At 36.2% G+C, this 17,063-nt stretch overlaps 1 protein-coding gene across 1 annotated transcript in view; it reads left to right on the plus strand.

Moving 5' to 3' along the window:
• Positions 1-16,138, plus strand: part of RAB21 (RAB21, member RAS oncogene family) — a 45,424-nt gene extending 29,286 nt beyond the window's left edge. The window contains exon 7 of the mRNA NM_014999.4: positions 1,383-16,138. Coding sequence (NP_055814.1) covers positions 1,383-1,525 — 143 coding nt within the window. The 3' untranslated portion in view covers positions 1,526-16,138. The remainder of the gene's footprint in view (positions 1-1,382) is intronic.
• Positions 16,139-17,063: the final 925 nt, after the last annotated feature.

Consider the following 17,063-nt stretch of genomic DNA (forward strand, 5'->3'; position numbering starts at 1 on the left):
TCTCTAATTTAAGAGCCCTTTTGTATTTTAAGGACACCCTCTTTTCTTCCTTCATCTTCTCAAATACGTGTTTTGTAAATACTTTCTCTCAGTCTGTGTTGTGTATTCCCATTTTTCTTACCTGTGTCTCTTAAAGTGCAGTTTTAAGTTTCAGTGAGGTCCAGTTTATCTATTTTTCTTTTATGATTCATGTTTTATGTCTTACATGAGAACTCTTTGTGTAAGCCAAAGTCACAAAAATTTTCTCCTATGAAGATTTTTCTCCTGTGTTTTCTTCTGGAAATTTTGTTTCATGTCTTACATTTAAGTGTATAATTCATTTTTCGTTGTTTTTTGCATAAGATGTTAAGGTGTGGGTTAAGGTTGATTTTTTTTTTTTACAATAGATGTCCAGTTCTATTAATACTACTGTTTTTTGAAAATATTCTTTCTTCATTGAATAACCTTGGCAACCATGTCAAAAATCAAGAGACCATATCTACGGGGTCTATTTCTGGACTGTGTTTTTTTGGTTCCACTGATCTATTTCTCCTATCATTGTCTCACTGTTTTGATTAGTGTAGCTTTATACTAGTTCTTGCAATCAGGTGGTGTGAGTCTTTCTGCTGTGTTCTTCGAAGTTCCCTCATCTTAAACTCCATTATTCTTCAAATATCGCTGTGGTCAGGGACAGTGGCTCACACCTATAAGCCCAGTGCTTTATGAGGCCAAGGCCATAGGATCACTTGAGCCCAGGAGTTTGAGACCAGCCTGGGCAACATAGTGAGACCCCCATCTCTAGCAAAAAAAAAAAACTCAGCCAGGCATGGTGTTGCATACCTGTAATTCCAGCTACTCAGGGACTGAGGCAGGAGGATCAACTGAGCCCAGGAGTTAGGGGCTGCAGTGAGTAAGTGATGATCACACCACTGCACATCCAGCCTGGGTATCAAAGCGAGACCCTGTCTCTCAAAACTAAAATAAAAAGAATCATTTACTTAAAAGTATTACATTTCTAGTTGAAGAATAAATCCTGCCCCCTAAATATTACTTGGAATAATTTGAACTTCTTTGACATATTTCTAAGTGTGTTTGGAAAATCTTAAGGATTATACTTGTACGCAGGCAATTGTTCAGAGCAAAAAAATTTTTTTCTTTATTGATATCACTGTGGCCATTATACCACTGGATAAATAAGCTTACTACTTGATACTAGTTTTTGACACTAGTTTTTTAAAACATGCAGGTGAAGCTGTTTTAGTGAGCTGACCCAATGTTCATTATATTTAGTTTCTTTGTTGGTCGAAAGTCAGAAATAGCTATCATAGTGTTATACTGAAATTTTAGAAAGAGAAAACACAAATATTGTGGTCCTAATAATGTTTGCTTTCTCTCTGTCTTAGGGATGATAGAAACAGCACAAGTGGATGAGAGAGCAAAAGGCAATGGCTCTAGTCAGCCGGGAACTGCAAGGCGAGGTGTACAGATTATTGATGATGAACCTCAAGCCCAGACCAGTGGTGGAGGGTGCTGTTCTTCTGGATAACTGTTCACGCCTAAGAAATTAAAAGACAGAACAAAACTGTGGATCATTGCCCTCAACATGAAGACTGCCATATTCCAAGTCACATTATTTTACCAATGGAATTATAGAATTAACAGTATTTTAAATTACGTTTATAACACTGCAGAGACCTTAAGTGCTAAACTTAGTGGAGTTTGTGACCAGAGAATTGGCATTTTCTACAAATGTTTTTTTTTGTTTTTTTTTTGTTTTTTTTTGTTTTTTTTTGAGACGGAGTCTCGCTCTGTCACCCAGGCTGGAGTGCACTGGCTTGATCTCGGCTCACTGCAAGCTCCACCTCCCAGGTTCACGCCATTCTCCTGCCTCAGCCTCCCGAGTAGCTGGGACTATAGGCGCCCACCACGACGCCCGGCTAATTTTTTGTATTTTTAGTAGAGACGGGGTTTCACCAGGTTAGCCAGGATGGTCTCGATCTCCTGACCTTGTGATCCGCCCGCCTCGGCCTCCCAAAGTGCTGGGATTACAGGCGTGAGCCACCGTGCCCGGCCTACAAATGTTAACAAAGCAATTACCAATGGCCTTTTTACATATTTTTTCTTTAATGAGGAATAATATGCATGTAGAAAAGACCTACTTAAAGTCTTCATTTATATTCTTTCAAATCAAATCTTTATTTAATAACTTATATATGTTGTTGGAATGGTTACATTTTTGCAGCCCTTTGTATTTTGTGGTAGTTGAAATTGTATCACTTCTAAACAGCAAACTGTTTTTGTTTTTAATTAGCAGATATCTGAAGTACTATTTTTGCAGGGTTTGCACAGGCCCGTAACTGTCTACTACTTTGATATAATCTGTATACATCCTGTATGCTGAGCTGGTAAAATACATTGTAAATTACATATTAAATATTTTATCTGCTTTTACAAGCGCAAGGTGCAAAAATATATACAATAGTCTCATTGATGACTGTAAAGTGAATTAACATTTGGTGATTATGCCTAGCTTTTTTGACTAATATAAAGATCATAGCTCCCCTTCACTTCTGTCTTAACTTGAACATGGCGTGTTTAAATTTTCATACATACTTTACTTGAATTATTGCTGTTGTCACATATTTTTGCCTCTGTGAGTTCATCTGATGATTGAGCAGTAGCATTTGCCTTTTGGGTTTTTTGTTTGTTATTATAGAAGAGATGACTTCTGCTGATTTTGCTTTAGAATGGTTACCTTAGAAGAATTTGGGTGGCTCATGTTGAATTTCACTTCTGCAATAGCTTTCATTTTCTCATAGGCTTTATAAGAGATGGGTTCAGTGGTATGAGCAGAGGAAGAGATCCCAGATAGTAGCCAGTTAACCAAGACTCATTCATATAGCACGTAGTTTATGTTCCTGAGGCAGCACTTTTAGATCCTTTGTGAGCAAGTTCTATTTGTTCATTGCTTGCCAGAGATGAACACAGAATGTTCTGTTTCATTTTACAAGAACTATCCTGAGTTTCTGTGGATGGAAACATTACATGTAATGCAGATATAGTGAACACTGGAAAGATTTATTAAAGAATTATATTTGTGTATACTTTATAAATTAGTCCCTCATTAGATTTTTTTTTCTTAAGCATAAGACTGAACTTAAATGTGTTAATTTTAGTAGAATCAGGCACTGCTCGCAGAAGGAACACAGATTGTAGAGATTAACATAAATTGTTCTTGTTCTAATATATATATTTTTTCATTTCTGTCGTGCTTGGAAAACTAGTAAATATTATGTCTAAGATAAAATGGAATGGCCCCTGGATTTACTTCTTATAAGAAGCAGTAGTATGTAATAAAGCTATTAGCATGAGCAATTAAGAGGCTATAAAGAGATTATAGTTACAAAAGAAATACTGCCATATTTTTAAGTTAATAACTTAAACCTTCTCAAATGGGTTAAAAGTTGAATGAATTGACACCCTGATGTTATGATGTTGGAATTTTAACTTAAACTGGGAGGCATTCTGTGAGCCTTCACTTTACCTTCTTTAATTATTGTCCTTGCTAAACTCAACACAGACTTTTCTGTTATGTGTTTTTGAGGAAGTTGGGGTGGGAAGAGTCAGGGAGATAAGCTAAAATTGTCTTCTTTTATGGGGTAATTGTACTCTGTAGTCTCTTGGTTTCCTGTGAAGTTAGTATTTATGTGGGGGTGGGGGAAGGTAGCAAGAATCATGGGTATCACGGTACTTTGTTTTTGACCTCCTGGCTCTTTCAGACAGAGTGAAGAAAGCTTTTCCATTCTTACTGTTGTAGAAGTAGATAGGAAATAAGCTTTTCTCATTACAGTGAAATATGTTTTAAAAACTAGAGTAGCTGGGCACAGAGGCATGCATTTGTAGGGCCAGCTACTTGGGAGAGTGAGGCAGGAGGATCACTTGAGGCCAGGATTTCAAATCCAGCCTAGGTAACACTGAGACCTCCATCTCGTAAAAGGCACAAAAACTAGTTAGAGATGAAATTGAGCTTTATTTTAAAAAAACGTTCTAAAGCCTGATAATTGGAGAGCTATACTTCAGCTTTTCATCCTACTTTAATGAAACAGCTAGATAGGAACCTCTGCTCCAGAATTGCCAGATAATTATTGGTGGGTCATAACTATTCTTCATATTTTTTTTTTCTTTTTTCTCCTTTGGTTTCTGTGTTATCTTTCTTAACCTCACGTATTTCTTTATCCTTTTTAGTGGGGGCCTGTAATTGAGGCTAATTCAATAGCAACAATAGACAACATGATATGGCTGCTGTCACTTTGAAACCCAAAAGGTCTTTGGGTAGGAATAGAGTAATGAAAGAGGACCAGTCAACTTCAGTATATATACAAAGGAAAGACAAAGAGATGATAAACCAAGGCTGAGGAAATTTTTCTGATGCTTTCTTCATTTCTCTAATATACCTTTTGCATTCTTTTTCTGATAATTGTGCTATTAGGCAGAAGACACAAGTTACCACGTTGTGTATTAAAAGCAGTAGGTAGGTTGTGCCAGTATTTTTTCAGCCAGTAAGCATATACAGTTAACTTATATAATTAAAAATTGGTTTAAGATAGTGATTAAAAATACCTGAATATTATGTTAAAAGTATACAATCATTGTTTCTGTAATGATGATGGGTATTCTGCTTCTTGTTTTTCATTGTAATTACAGGGGAAGATTGTTTTTGAAAATGTATATTGCCATGCTTTTGGGGTAAGCAGTAATGTGAAAAGAAAAAAGCATTATGTTATTGTATGAAATATAAGTGTTCAGATTTGTTTTGTCTGGGGTGTTGCCTAAGAATACCCTAAAGCTATGGCTGTTACTGCATTGAAATCTTTTTTTTTTTTAATAGTAGCCATATGTTATTAGTGGAGTACTTTATATTTGACATTAAAGTGAAGAAGAAGAGTAGTACTTCACTTTTAGGTTTTTAGTAGTGAAAGATAAAATTGGAAAAATAGGGAAAGAGCATAGGGAGGAATAGAATGGAAGTCAAGTAAATAAAAAACTACAACCTGACAGTTTTTTAAATCACTTTGAAAAGTACATTACTTTTATCAAAGAGTTTCTAATTAAGGCAAACTATGCATTATGCCAAATATTAAGAACATTTTAAAAATGGATTGTGATACTGTTTATTTCTTTAATTATATAATTTGCAATTTTCTGTATTATAAGTGCTACCAGGATTCTAGATAGTTGATCTTACATATTCAGATAGTATAGTTTACTCTTATAATTACCCGTTACGTTATCTCTAAAAGTAGTTTGATCTGTGCCTTTAACTTTTAGAATTCATCTTTTGACTTGTTTGCCACTGTAGAGTTTTCAGTTTTCTCTGTAGATTCAGTGTGACAAAGAGGGAATACATAATTTGTGACCATTTAAGATGCTGATATTTTCTGGAAAAGGATATAGATAGTAGTAGTGACCCGCAGGAGCCTCACAATAATGTCTAAAGATATAAACTGAGTAGATCCCTAAGTACTCTTCTCTAAATTATAAAATGCATTACCTAGGCTTTAATAGTTAAAAGCTGGAATTTATTGAACCGCATCTACTTGATTTCATAATATGCATTGATTTTAGTATGTTGCTGTTCTGTTATCTGTAATCAACTATAACAGAGTAATATATTTGGTGTTCTGGACCAAAATTCGTGCTACACATATGTCTGATGGCCTTTACCTTTTCAAGAAAACAGTTGCAATTTTGAGCAAAATTTTCCTAGTTGTAATATTTTAATAGTGTTATGTATTGGAAAAAATTTAGAAATACTCCTAAGAGTTTTCAATTTCAAGCAGAAATGCTTCTCTTCTAAATAAATACCACTTAATTGATAGACCTTTAGCAGTTCTTGTGCTATCTAGGATTTATACATTTTTGCTTTTCTGGAAAACTGCTTTGGCGCATTAACCTTTCTACTGCAACATTTTCTCTTCAGTAGATATATGAGTAAACATGATGAGTTAATGTTACACAGCATACCCAGTTAGGTCTCTTATTCTTAAAGCATCTTTCTTTAGAAGTCTGCACATATTTTCAAATGCATCATATTAAAGGCACAAGTCAAGAGGAGGTGGAGTTGCCTACTTCAGTGGCCTTTATTCCCACTATACCAGTTCTCAGTCTTGATTTTGATACTTTCTGGCAACTGTATCATCTCTTCACTATCACGTATTTTAAGAAAAAGCTAAGGTGATTTCTTTACATTTGAACATGTGTAGATCAATGAGAGAATGGTGAGGGATAGCAAGGATAAAGTATAATGTTGAAAAGTAGAAAGAAGTGGTATCTGCTAAACTCTAGCTTTAGTAGCAAGCTATTTTAAGGAAATCATTGTATGTGGTACTTCCTAGAAATATGAAAGTTCCTCATTTTGTATTTAATTATGTAAGAAAATGTTCTAGGAAAAGAATAAAAAACATATATTGTCAAAGTGCCCTTTGGTAGTGCTCCCAAATGGTAGTAACTATTGGTCTCTAGTATATACTCCTCAAATATCTTTTTGCTATGTATTAATATATCTATATGTTTACATATAGAAATACATAGTGTTGTGGGTTTTAAATTTTCACATAAATTGTGTCTTACCCATGTGTTTTGCCATTTGCCTTTTCTCTTGCCAACGTGTCTAGGAGCTCTTTGGTAAATACAGACTTTTTCATTTTATTTCCTCCCACATTTCTATGGATGTGTCTTGCCTTTTTCTTTTTTTTTTCTTTCTTTTTTTCTTTTTTAAAATAGCCTCTGACTCCATGAAACCTGAAAAGGAATCTGGTCTGTTAGGTGGATTTCATTAGTATCCAAATTTATTTATTTTTTTATTTCATTTTTTTGAGACAGTCTCGCTGTGTCACCCAGGCTGGAGTGTGGTGGCTCAGTGATAGTTCACTGCATCCTTGAACTCATGGACTCAAGCAATCCTCTTGCCTCAGCCTTCTGAGTAGCTGGGACTACATGTGTAAGCCACCATGCCTGGCTAATTTTTGTATTTTTCATTTTTAGTAGAGATGGGAAGTCTTGCTGTGTTGCCCAGGCTGGTCTTGAACTCCTGGCCTCAACCATTCCTCCCACTTCAGCCTCCCAAAGTACTGAGATTACAGATGTGAGCCACTAGGCCCAGTCAGTATCATAGAATTTAAATGCAAGCCAATGCTTAGACAGAATCAGGGTCTGCTTTAAGCATGTGAATCAGGAAACTAGAAGGCCTCTTGTAATGTATTTGAAGTTCATTACTTTTGGCTGACGGTTGACTGCTTAGTGTATAAAATCTAGGAGTTAACTTTAGCAGATTCTTTTATCAGAATACGTTTTTTATTGGAGGGAAGAAGGAAAAAGAGGAAAGGTATAACTGATGGGGAAAAGTACAAGATAAACTAAAACAAGTCTTTATACAACTCTGACAGCAACTCCCATAACAGGACATGATGCTACCAAAAATTCAAACTTGTATTTGATCTGTGCCTTTAATATAGAGTAAAAACAAAAGTTCCTTTTTAGATCTCCCTTCCCTCATCATCCCACATCCCTTTTTAGAGGTAACCATTGTTAACAGTTTGGTTTGTGTCTTTATTATGCAGTTTTATATTTATATTTGGCCTTTGTAAATTTTCCATTCCCTGAATGGAACTTCTACCCTATATCAAATTCCACCCTCAACTGACCAATTTACCAAGGCCAACTAGAATCATACTTCTTTTTCTGGAAGTTTTTTTTGAGACAGGGTCTTGCTTTGCCGCACAGACTAGAATGCAGTAGCATGATCATAGCTCATTGCAGCCTCAAACTCCTGGGCTTAAGCAATCCTCCCACCTCAGACTTCGAAGTAGCTGGTATTACAGGTGCATAACACCACCACCCACGCCTGGCTAATTGTTTTGTTTTTTTTGTGGAGATGGCTCTCACTTTGTTGCCCAGGCTGGTTTTTGAACTAGTTTCAAAGTGATCCTCCTGCCTTGGCCTCTCAAAGTACTAGGATAACAGTCATGAGCCACCATGCCCACCCTAGAATCATACTCTTTTAAAGCAAGTTAAATCAGCAGTAATAGTTCTGGAACTAGAAGTTAACTACTTACTGGACTTTTGAGATGTAAGTTTACCATACATCAAGCTTAAAAACTTGTAGCGTTCTGGGAAAGTCAAGTCAAACTCTTGAATGCTATCCTCTGTGGAAATAGGGTTGGGAAAGAGCAATGTACAAGTCCAAGCTCCTTAATACACATAAAACTCTGGGTTGGGCTCATCCTCTTGGTGTATTTTCCTACTTGGAGAGCATTACAGTGTCCAACAATTTATAGGAGCTTCTCTGCACTGTCAAGACTATAGCTTAGCATATGTGTGCTATGACACAAGGTTAAACGTGTGCCCCAGAACAAATGCATTTATTCATGTTTGACTTTAAATGAAAATTCAGAAAGCAGGTTAAGCATATATGTGAGTTTAATAATTGTTTCTGTATTTTAAAAAATTTTAAAACATTCAGCTTTTTATGACTTTGGTTAGTTTCACTCATTTGTTGAGTGCCTTCTGTATGCCCAGTGCACAAACTGCTATGTGCCCAGTGTACATACATGGGAGAACCAGATAGCCAAAGTGCCTTCCTTTATCGTTGGAACCTAGAGATGAGCTGATACCTGTTGCACATAGTCCAAGATATAAGTAATTTATCTGGGGATATAAGGTCACCTGTGCACACATGTTCACATTCTGTGTTTGATCAGATATGTACCTGCCAAACTTTTGGAGTGAGATAATTAGAATGACAGTAGTTGAAGCTGACAGTGAATTTGAGGTAAAGCTGGAAAGAATGTTTTTGAATTTTGCAAATAATACATTTTCAAGCCAGATTAAAATTGAATAACTTACTTTCTAGCTTCAAGGGGGTAATTAAGTGATCCTCTAACCCAAATTGCTTTTCCAAATTTTGTGGTAGCAGTGAATAAACTGATGCCTCCTGCTTATTTAGACAGCAGCCATTTTTGTTTGGTTTGGTTTGGTTTTGCGGTGATTTTTTTTAACCTAGAAAAAATACAATTTAAAAAGCAATCATGTTGTTTTCTTTGCCTTTGACAGATGTGGCCTTGTCACCACACAGTAAGCCAGAACACAATCCATTCCTGAGTCATAGTAGGATAGTTTGTGTAATTCTAAATGCACTCTCCAGTTTAAGAGTGTGGGTCCCTTTTTTTCTATCTGAAATTGAAGATACAGGTCAGAAAGATGGTTTAATGAATATGAATTTTCTAAACATCTTTTCAGTGTCTTTTAAGGATATTTTTGATATTACAATATAATAAAGTTAAATCATCTAGTCCTCCTGGCCCTTCTGGTTAGAAAATAGAGCGAAATCATCCGTTTAAACACACACACACAAACTATCCCATTAGTTGGTTATACACAAGTTACTTTCATTCTTACTAGTTCACAAAAGGTTAGTAAATTTAGTGATTTAATGAGTTCTTCAAAACATAAAAGTCCTGTAAAGGAAAAGCTAGAGGATGTGAGAGGAGTAATTCATCCCCATCAAAAGATTTTAGCCAAAAGTAGTGGCATAAGAAATTTATTTATGCGAAAGACATAATTTTGGGTGAACTTTCTTGAAGATGGTCAGAAAGGGCATTGTTAAAGGAAGGAGATGGTAGATTTTGGGTTCTGGGTTCTAGGTTCTAGGCTAATAATTTACTACTTTGGTATGTTGCCTTGAGGCTGACATTTGCTGCTCTGCTAAGACTAAAGCTGGCCCTTTCCAATCAAAAGTGTTAAAAGCTGGCTGGGAGCCATGGCTCATGCCTGTAATCCAGCACTTTGGGAGGCTGAGGTGGGTGGATGGATCCCTTAAACCCAGGAATTCAAGACCAGTGTAGACAACATGGCGAAACCCCATCTCTATCCAAAAATATACAAAAATTAGCCAGGTGTGGTGGTGTGTGCCTGTAGTCTCAGCTACTCAGGAGGCTGAGATGGGAGGATTGCTTGAGCCTGGGAGTTAGAGGATGCAATGAGCTGAGGTCGCACCACTGCACTCCAGCCTGGACGACAGAGTGAGGCCCTGTCTCAAAAAAAGAAAAAAGAAAAAAAAAAGTTAAAAGTTGTGGCATGGTGGCTCACGCCTGTAATCCCAGCACTTTTGGAGGCTAAGGCAGGTGGACCACCTGAGGTCAGGAGTTCGAGACCAGCCTGGCCAACATGGTGAAACCCTGTCTCTACTAAAAACAAAACAAAACAAAACCATATATATATTATATATATATATATATATATATTTTTTTTTTTTTTTTTTTTTTTTTTTTTGAGACGGAGTCTCGCTCTGTCCCAGGCCAGAGTGCAGTGGCGCTATCTCGGCTCACTGCAAGCTCCGGCTCCCGAGTTCACACCATTCTCCTGCCTCAGCCTCCCGAGTAGCTGGGACTACAGGCGCCCGCCACCACGCCTGGCTAATTTTTTGTATTTTTTTGGTAGAGATGGGGTTTCACCGTGTTAGCCAGGATGGTCTCTATCTCCTGACCTTGTTATCCGCCCGCCTCGGCCTCCCAAAGTGCTGGGATTACAAGCGTGAGCCACCGAGCCCAGCTATATTTATAAATTTATATATATTTCATATATATATTATATATATATAAAATTAACCGGGCATGGTAGTGAGCCCCTGTAATCCCAGCTACTTGGGAGGCTGAGGCAGGAGAATTGCTTGAACCCAGGAGACGGAGGTTGCAGTGAGCAGACCTGGTGCCACTGGACTCCAGCCTCGGTGACAGAGTGAGACTCTGTCTCAAAAAAAAAGTTAAAAGTTGTTAACTAGATGTCGAATTATTTTCATAGTAATCACCATGTGTAAGCAATTCTCATCTGTGGAATGTTTGACAGGGATAAGATTATTGAAAATTGGGGGGAATTTTCTTAAATATGGAACTAAGAGCTAAAGAGTTCAATGATGATTAAGACCACTAGTCTGGCAAGTGACTTTTATTTGTCCTTTTCTATTGATAATGAATTCTAGGAATATGGATGGATTTCATTAGAGAAATAAAAATGAGCAAGATTTGTGATTCAGAATATTAAAAGTTAAGAATCCATGAATAGCCCCTTAAAAATATTGTCAAAGCATCATGGTATTTGTAGTGGTGCTTAAAAAAGAAGCAGCAGCAGCTGTTCTAAGCCAAGCACTGCTTGAAAACAAAACAAAACAGAACAAAACCTTATATTTAATAAAATGGAGAAATTTGGGAATGTCCCTAGCGTAATAATGCCTTCTACTGACATTTAAAGTCAGCTTAAACATCATTAGGGAAGACTATGACTGTTTCTATGACCTCTAGTCACAAATTTAACTAATTTAAGGTTAACTAATACCTCTTTCAGAGTTGGGCAAAAGAAGAAAAAAAAAGCCTTTATTTGTGATCAGTAAATTATAAATTACACAGAAGCTTCCAGCTACCTGGTATTTGCATGAAGAATTCTAAATTTTTTATATGCCATAATTTTTAGTAATGCTGTCCTTGAATTCACTTACATCTCTGCTCTGGTTTTTTGAAGCTCATTAGGATGATACCTGTCATCTCTTGGAAACACTGGAACTAGAGAACTGGAGGTGTTCACCCCCATTTTTTGCTACATTGTTGAAAACTGAGTAGAATTTTGTGTCCAAAAATCCTTAGTCTGTGATGGAATTTTTTAAAGTATATGTGAAGTTTTTTACTTCTTCAGTTTTTCAAGATAATTTTGCTGTTTTTGCTTTTTATTTATTTGCAACTAGAAATTGCATGTGCCAGTTACTTAATTTAATACATCTAATGGGAGATTCAAAGCAAACCATTAAAACTACCATATAAACTCAAATGAAATTTTATGACATTCTAATGTACATACTCGCCAAGAAATGCTACAAGGAGCCTCTCTGCAAATGCCTGATGGGGCACTCTGAGAATTAAACAGGAAATGGACAGGAAAAGAGGCAAAGCATAGAATAGCCTCTGTGGTATACACACAGACAATGTAAAATCCAAGAAATATAAGGTCCAAGGAGGAATTGGTTATTGAAGTAGAGAACCTCATCATGAGATTTGAGAATAGCTTTAGAGTTACTCTTGGGATAGTGTCTCATGGCCCTGTGAGGGAACTCTACAAATTTTATCCATTTTGCTGGGCAGTTTTAAGAGCTACTTTTTGTCTGTACTTTCCTTAATTTTCATATTATTTCTAGCTTTTACTTCATCTTATGAAAGATTAACTTAGAGGTTAGAATGCTTACATTTGCAAATAGCCTGAGGAATAAATATGTGCTTTATCAAAGTGGAACTTCTGATTTTCTGTAATATTAGGATGGACATGTGTCTGGCTTATCCTTCCTATCTAGGAAACTGGTGTCATTAGGAAATACGTTAACATAAGATCCCTGACTATAAAGTAAGACTTATTATCTTGTATAGTTTGTAGCATTTAATCTTCTATTTCAGTGATTGGTTTGGATCTACTTAATTTTAAGCTTTACTGGTCATTTGTCCCCCTCATGTTGTACCTAATAAGTGTGTAGTTTTTAAGTGAAATCATACATAATTTCAAGGAAACTGCTAGAGACAATGTTGAGTATCATCAAGAACATTTAATCAAACCTGTTGACTAAGAGCTTTAGTTTGGCTTACAATTTCATATGTAAATCCAAGAAAAAGACTTGTAAGCTAAAAAGCCTGTTTCGTTCGGAAAAAAAAGTACATAACATTTTAAAGATTTGTGAGAGGAAAAAAGCATTAGATGCGATAGAATGGAATAATCTCTTTTTAGAAGTAAATTAGTTTTTATTTCATTTGTGGGTGGTATTGAGAAAAGTGGTGGAAATAAATACATTGAGCAGATTCAGAATTTAATAGACACTTCGTGTTTCCATTTTCATAATGGGGGTTAGTCATAAACCATTCTATGTGGAGCATTTTACAGGGGCTCTGAAAGGTATACAAAATGTACTACTATAATTAATGTCCTCAAGGAACTTAAAAACCTATTGGAAGATTTATTTAACAGAGGTAAGAGAATTTGGACCCATTAAAAATGGAGGAAAAGGTAAAGTTAGTATTTGTAGATGATAGTGCAAAGCTTAAAAGGGTCAACTGAAAGTCTCTTAAAACGAATACAGTCACTGGGTATAAAATTCATCACAGAAATAAAAAGCTTTCATTTATAAAAACAACAGCCAGTTAGAAGATATAATAGAAGAAAAGGCCCCATTTAAAGTAAGACCAAAGGAGAGAAGATACCTAGGAATAAACAAGTTATATGCGTGACCACAAAACCAAAACTTTGTATTTCACATGAAAATAAATTCAAACACATGGAGATGCATATCATATTCTTGGATAGGAAGACAACATACACATTTCAGTTCTCTAAATTGAATGCAATCCCAATAAAAATATAAGGATTAAAAAAAAAAAAAACTAGATCGCTGATTCCAAAGTTTCTTTGAGGAAAAAAAAAAAAAAAAGCAAGACTAGCCAGGAAAACTGAAAAAACAATGAGGAAAGACTGGCCTTATGAAATATTTAAACAAGAGAGCTCCAATAATTAAAACAGTCTGGAACTGGCATATGACTAGACAGATCATTCAAGCAGAAGGAAAATGAACCCAGATATGGGAATTTAGTGGAGGAGAAGTGATGTTTCAGCTCAGTGGGGAAAATATGGTTTATTCATTAAAGGTAGTAGGACACTTGGGTAGCTATAGAGAACAAAGCTGGATTCATACCTCATAAACCAAAATGCATTCCAGTTTAAATATGAAAACTGAAATGTTTAAAGTACCCAAAGAGGTTGTCAGAGAATTTTTAAAGATTTTAGTGTGGTAAAGGATTTCCTGAATTTGATATAAAATTTGGAATAGAATTTACAATAAGAAATGATAATGTTTTCACTATAAATTTGTAACAATAAATTATTATTATTTTTGAGATGGAGTCTCACTCTATTGCCCAGGCTAGAGGGCAGCGGCATGATCTTGGCTCACTGCAACCTCTGCCTCCCAGGTTCAAGCAATTATTCCTACCTTAGCCTCCCAAGTAGCTGGGACTACAGGTGTGCACCACCACACCTGGCTAATTTTTGTATTTTTAGTAGAGATGGCGTTTCACAGTGTTGGCCAGTCTGGTCTTGAATTCCTGACCTCAAGTGATCTGCCCACCTCGACCTGCCAAAGTGCTGGGATTATAGGTGTGAGGCACCATGCCCAACATATAACAATAAATTATATCACTATATAAAATAAATTCCTCACAGCAAAAAACCACCATAAGCATAGTCTAAAGAAAAATGACAAATTTGGAAAAAATATTTTCAAATCATATCATGCATTGCTTAATTTATAAAGAACACCTAGAAATGAAAAAGTCCAATGATCCAAAAAGAAAAAGGTACAAAATTGTAAACAGTTTTCACAGAAAAGAATAAAATGATTCAAGCCGGAAAAAAAGTTCAACTTTATTACTAAGAGAAGTATAAGACAAAACTATACTGAGATACCAGTTTTTTAACCTATTAATCAAGAAAGACTTTTTAGTTTTATAAAACATTGTAATATTCTAGATATTATTGGTAAGAATGGAGGGAACAAGTATTTTTGCTGATAGAGGGGTAAACTGGAACAACCGCTAAGGATGACAGTGAATTCTGAATTTATTTACCCAATGTACTCTTCAAGTTGCAGAGGCTGAGAAATTATTAAACTGTTACCCAGAACTTTTTATGCAGATGGGGGGGCAGTCTGAATGCTAATTAAGTTTTCTCAACTATATGCTCTCTCCTCATGATTTGAAAGGCAAAAGTGAAGCAGAGGCCAAGTTTTGAAGTTCTTGAATGTTACGAGGTAGTGAAAAACGTTTCCATGCAGCAGTGATCAAGTGTCTATCGTTCAGCTTCCTGAATATGGATAGGCTGTGGTGGTGGCAGCAGCTTCTTAATCTGACATTCCAACCCCTAGATTGTGGTGTTACATCTTCTTTCTCCAGCTTCCCAGGAGTGAAAGGTTGTAGTGGCTGGCCTCTGGTTCCCAGCAGGGCTCCATGGTGACCAGAGGTTGTAGTTCCCCCAGTGAATCATGTTTGTGTCACTGTGGGATTCATTCCCATAGGCTCAACTTAGATTCCTAAACCCTGCTCCTTCAACCCTTCCAGTAACTTTATAAGCACCAAATTCCATTTAAAAAGTGCCTTCCTGTTTAAAATATCTATAATGGCTTCTGTTTCCTGCATTGAAAGCTGACTGATCTGGAGGGCAATTGGGCAACAGCAATCAAAATTGTCTTTTCTTTTGACCTAGCAGTTTCACTTCTTGGAATATATCCTGTAAATATGCTTATGTATGAAGGAAATGAGTTTGTACAACGTTTTTCAATGCAGTATTGTTTGTAAATTGACACCAGTAGGGGAATAGTAAAATCAATTACTATGCATGCATATAATAAAATTTTAGGTAGCTATAAAAAAGAGAATGAGAAAGCTTTGCATATTTAAAAGAAACCATCAACAGGAATATTAAGTTTTTAAAAAAAGCCAGGGCAGAACAGTCTGTATACTGTATATTTTAAAATTGAACAAGTATAGTAGACAATTGAAGTATAGTAAAGATAAAATTAATTGCACAGGCCAGGCACAGTGGTTCACACCTGTAATCCCAGCATTTTGGGAGGCCAAGATGGGCGGATCATATGAGGTCAGGAGTTCAGGACCAGCCTGGCAAATACGGTGAAATCCCATCTCTACTAAAAATACAAAAATTAGCCGGGTGTGGTGGCAAGCAACTATAATCCTAACTACTTGGGAGGCTGAGGCAGGAGAATTGCTTGAACCCGGGAGGCGGAGGTTGCAGTGAGCCAAGATCATGCCCCTGTACTCCAGCCTGAGCAACAGAGTGAGACTCTATCTCAAAAAAAAAAAAAAAAAAATTAATTGCACATGAAGTATACAAGTTCGATCTGTGAAACCACCATCACAGTGAAGATAATTAACACATCCATCATTCCACAAAATTTCCTTACACTTTCTTGTAATCCCTTCTCCCTCCCATTCCTGCTTTCTTTAAACTATAGTTTAGTTTGAATTTTCTATAATTTTATATAAATAAAATCATATAACATGTATACTTTTGAGTCTGGCTTCTTTCATTCTGCACGACTGTATTAAGGTTCACTCATGTTGTTGTTTGTATCAATAGTTCATTCCTTTTCGTTGCCAAGTAATATTCCTTTGTAGGGATTAACTATATTTTGTGTATTTATTCACTTGTTGATAGACATTTGTATTATTTCCCATTGGGGCTATTACAAATAAAGCTACTGTAAACTTTTATGTGCCCACATCTTTATAAAGACAGATGCTTTTACTTTATTAATCAGGCGAATGGCTGGATTATTTGGTAGGTATATGTTTAACTTTTTGACAAACAGCCAGACTGTTTTCCAAAGTAGTTGTACCATTTTACATTTCCACCAGCAGTATATGAGTGTTTCAGTTCCTCCACGTTCTCATCAACACTTAATATGATCAGTCTTTTCAATTACAATCATTCTAATAGATGCATTTATCATTGTGGTTTTAATTTGCATTTTCCTAATGATATATTACGTTAAGCATTTTTTAAATGTGCTTCTTTGACTTCTGTATATCTTCTCAGTGACATGTCTGTTCAAATATTTGTGCATTTATTAGGCTTTTTAAAATTTAGTTTTGAGAGTTCTTTATATATTTTAGGTATAAATCCTTTATCACATGTATGATTTGCAAATCTTTCTTTCTTGTCTGCCTTGTCTTTTTATTCTCTCAGTGTCTTTCTTTCTTTTTGTGAGACAGAGTTTTGCCCATGGAGTGCAGTGGCCACTGTCTCTCCTCACTGGAATTTCCGCCTCCCGGGTTCAAGCGATTCTCCTGCCTCAGCCTCCTGAGTAGCTGGGATTACAGGCACCTGCCACTACACCTGGCTAATTTATGTATTTTTACTAGAGATGGGATTTCACCACATTGGCCAGGCTGGTCTCGAACTCCCGGGCTCAAATGATCCGCCCGCCT

The sequence above is a fragment of the Homo sapiens genome, chromosome 12, assembly GCF_000001405.40.
Source record: "Homo sapiens chromosome 12, GRCh38.p14 Primary Assembly".
Classification (NCBI taxonomy): domain Eukaryota; kingdom Metazoa; phylum Chordata; class Mammalia; order Primates; family Hominidae; genus Homo; species Homo sapiens.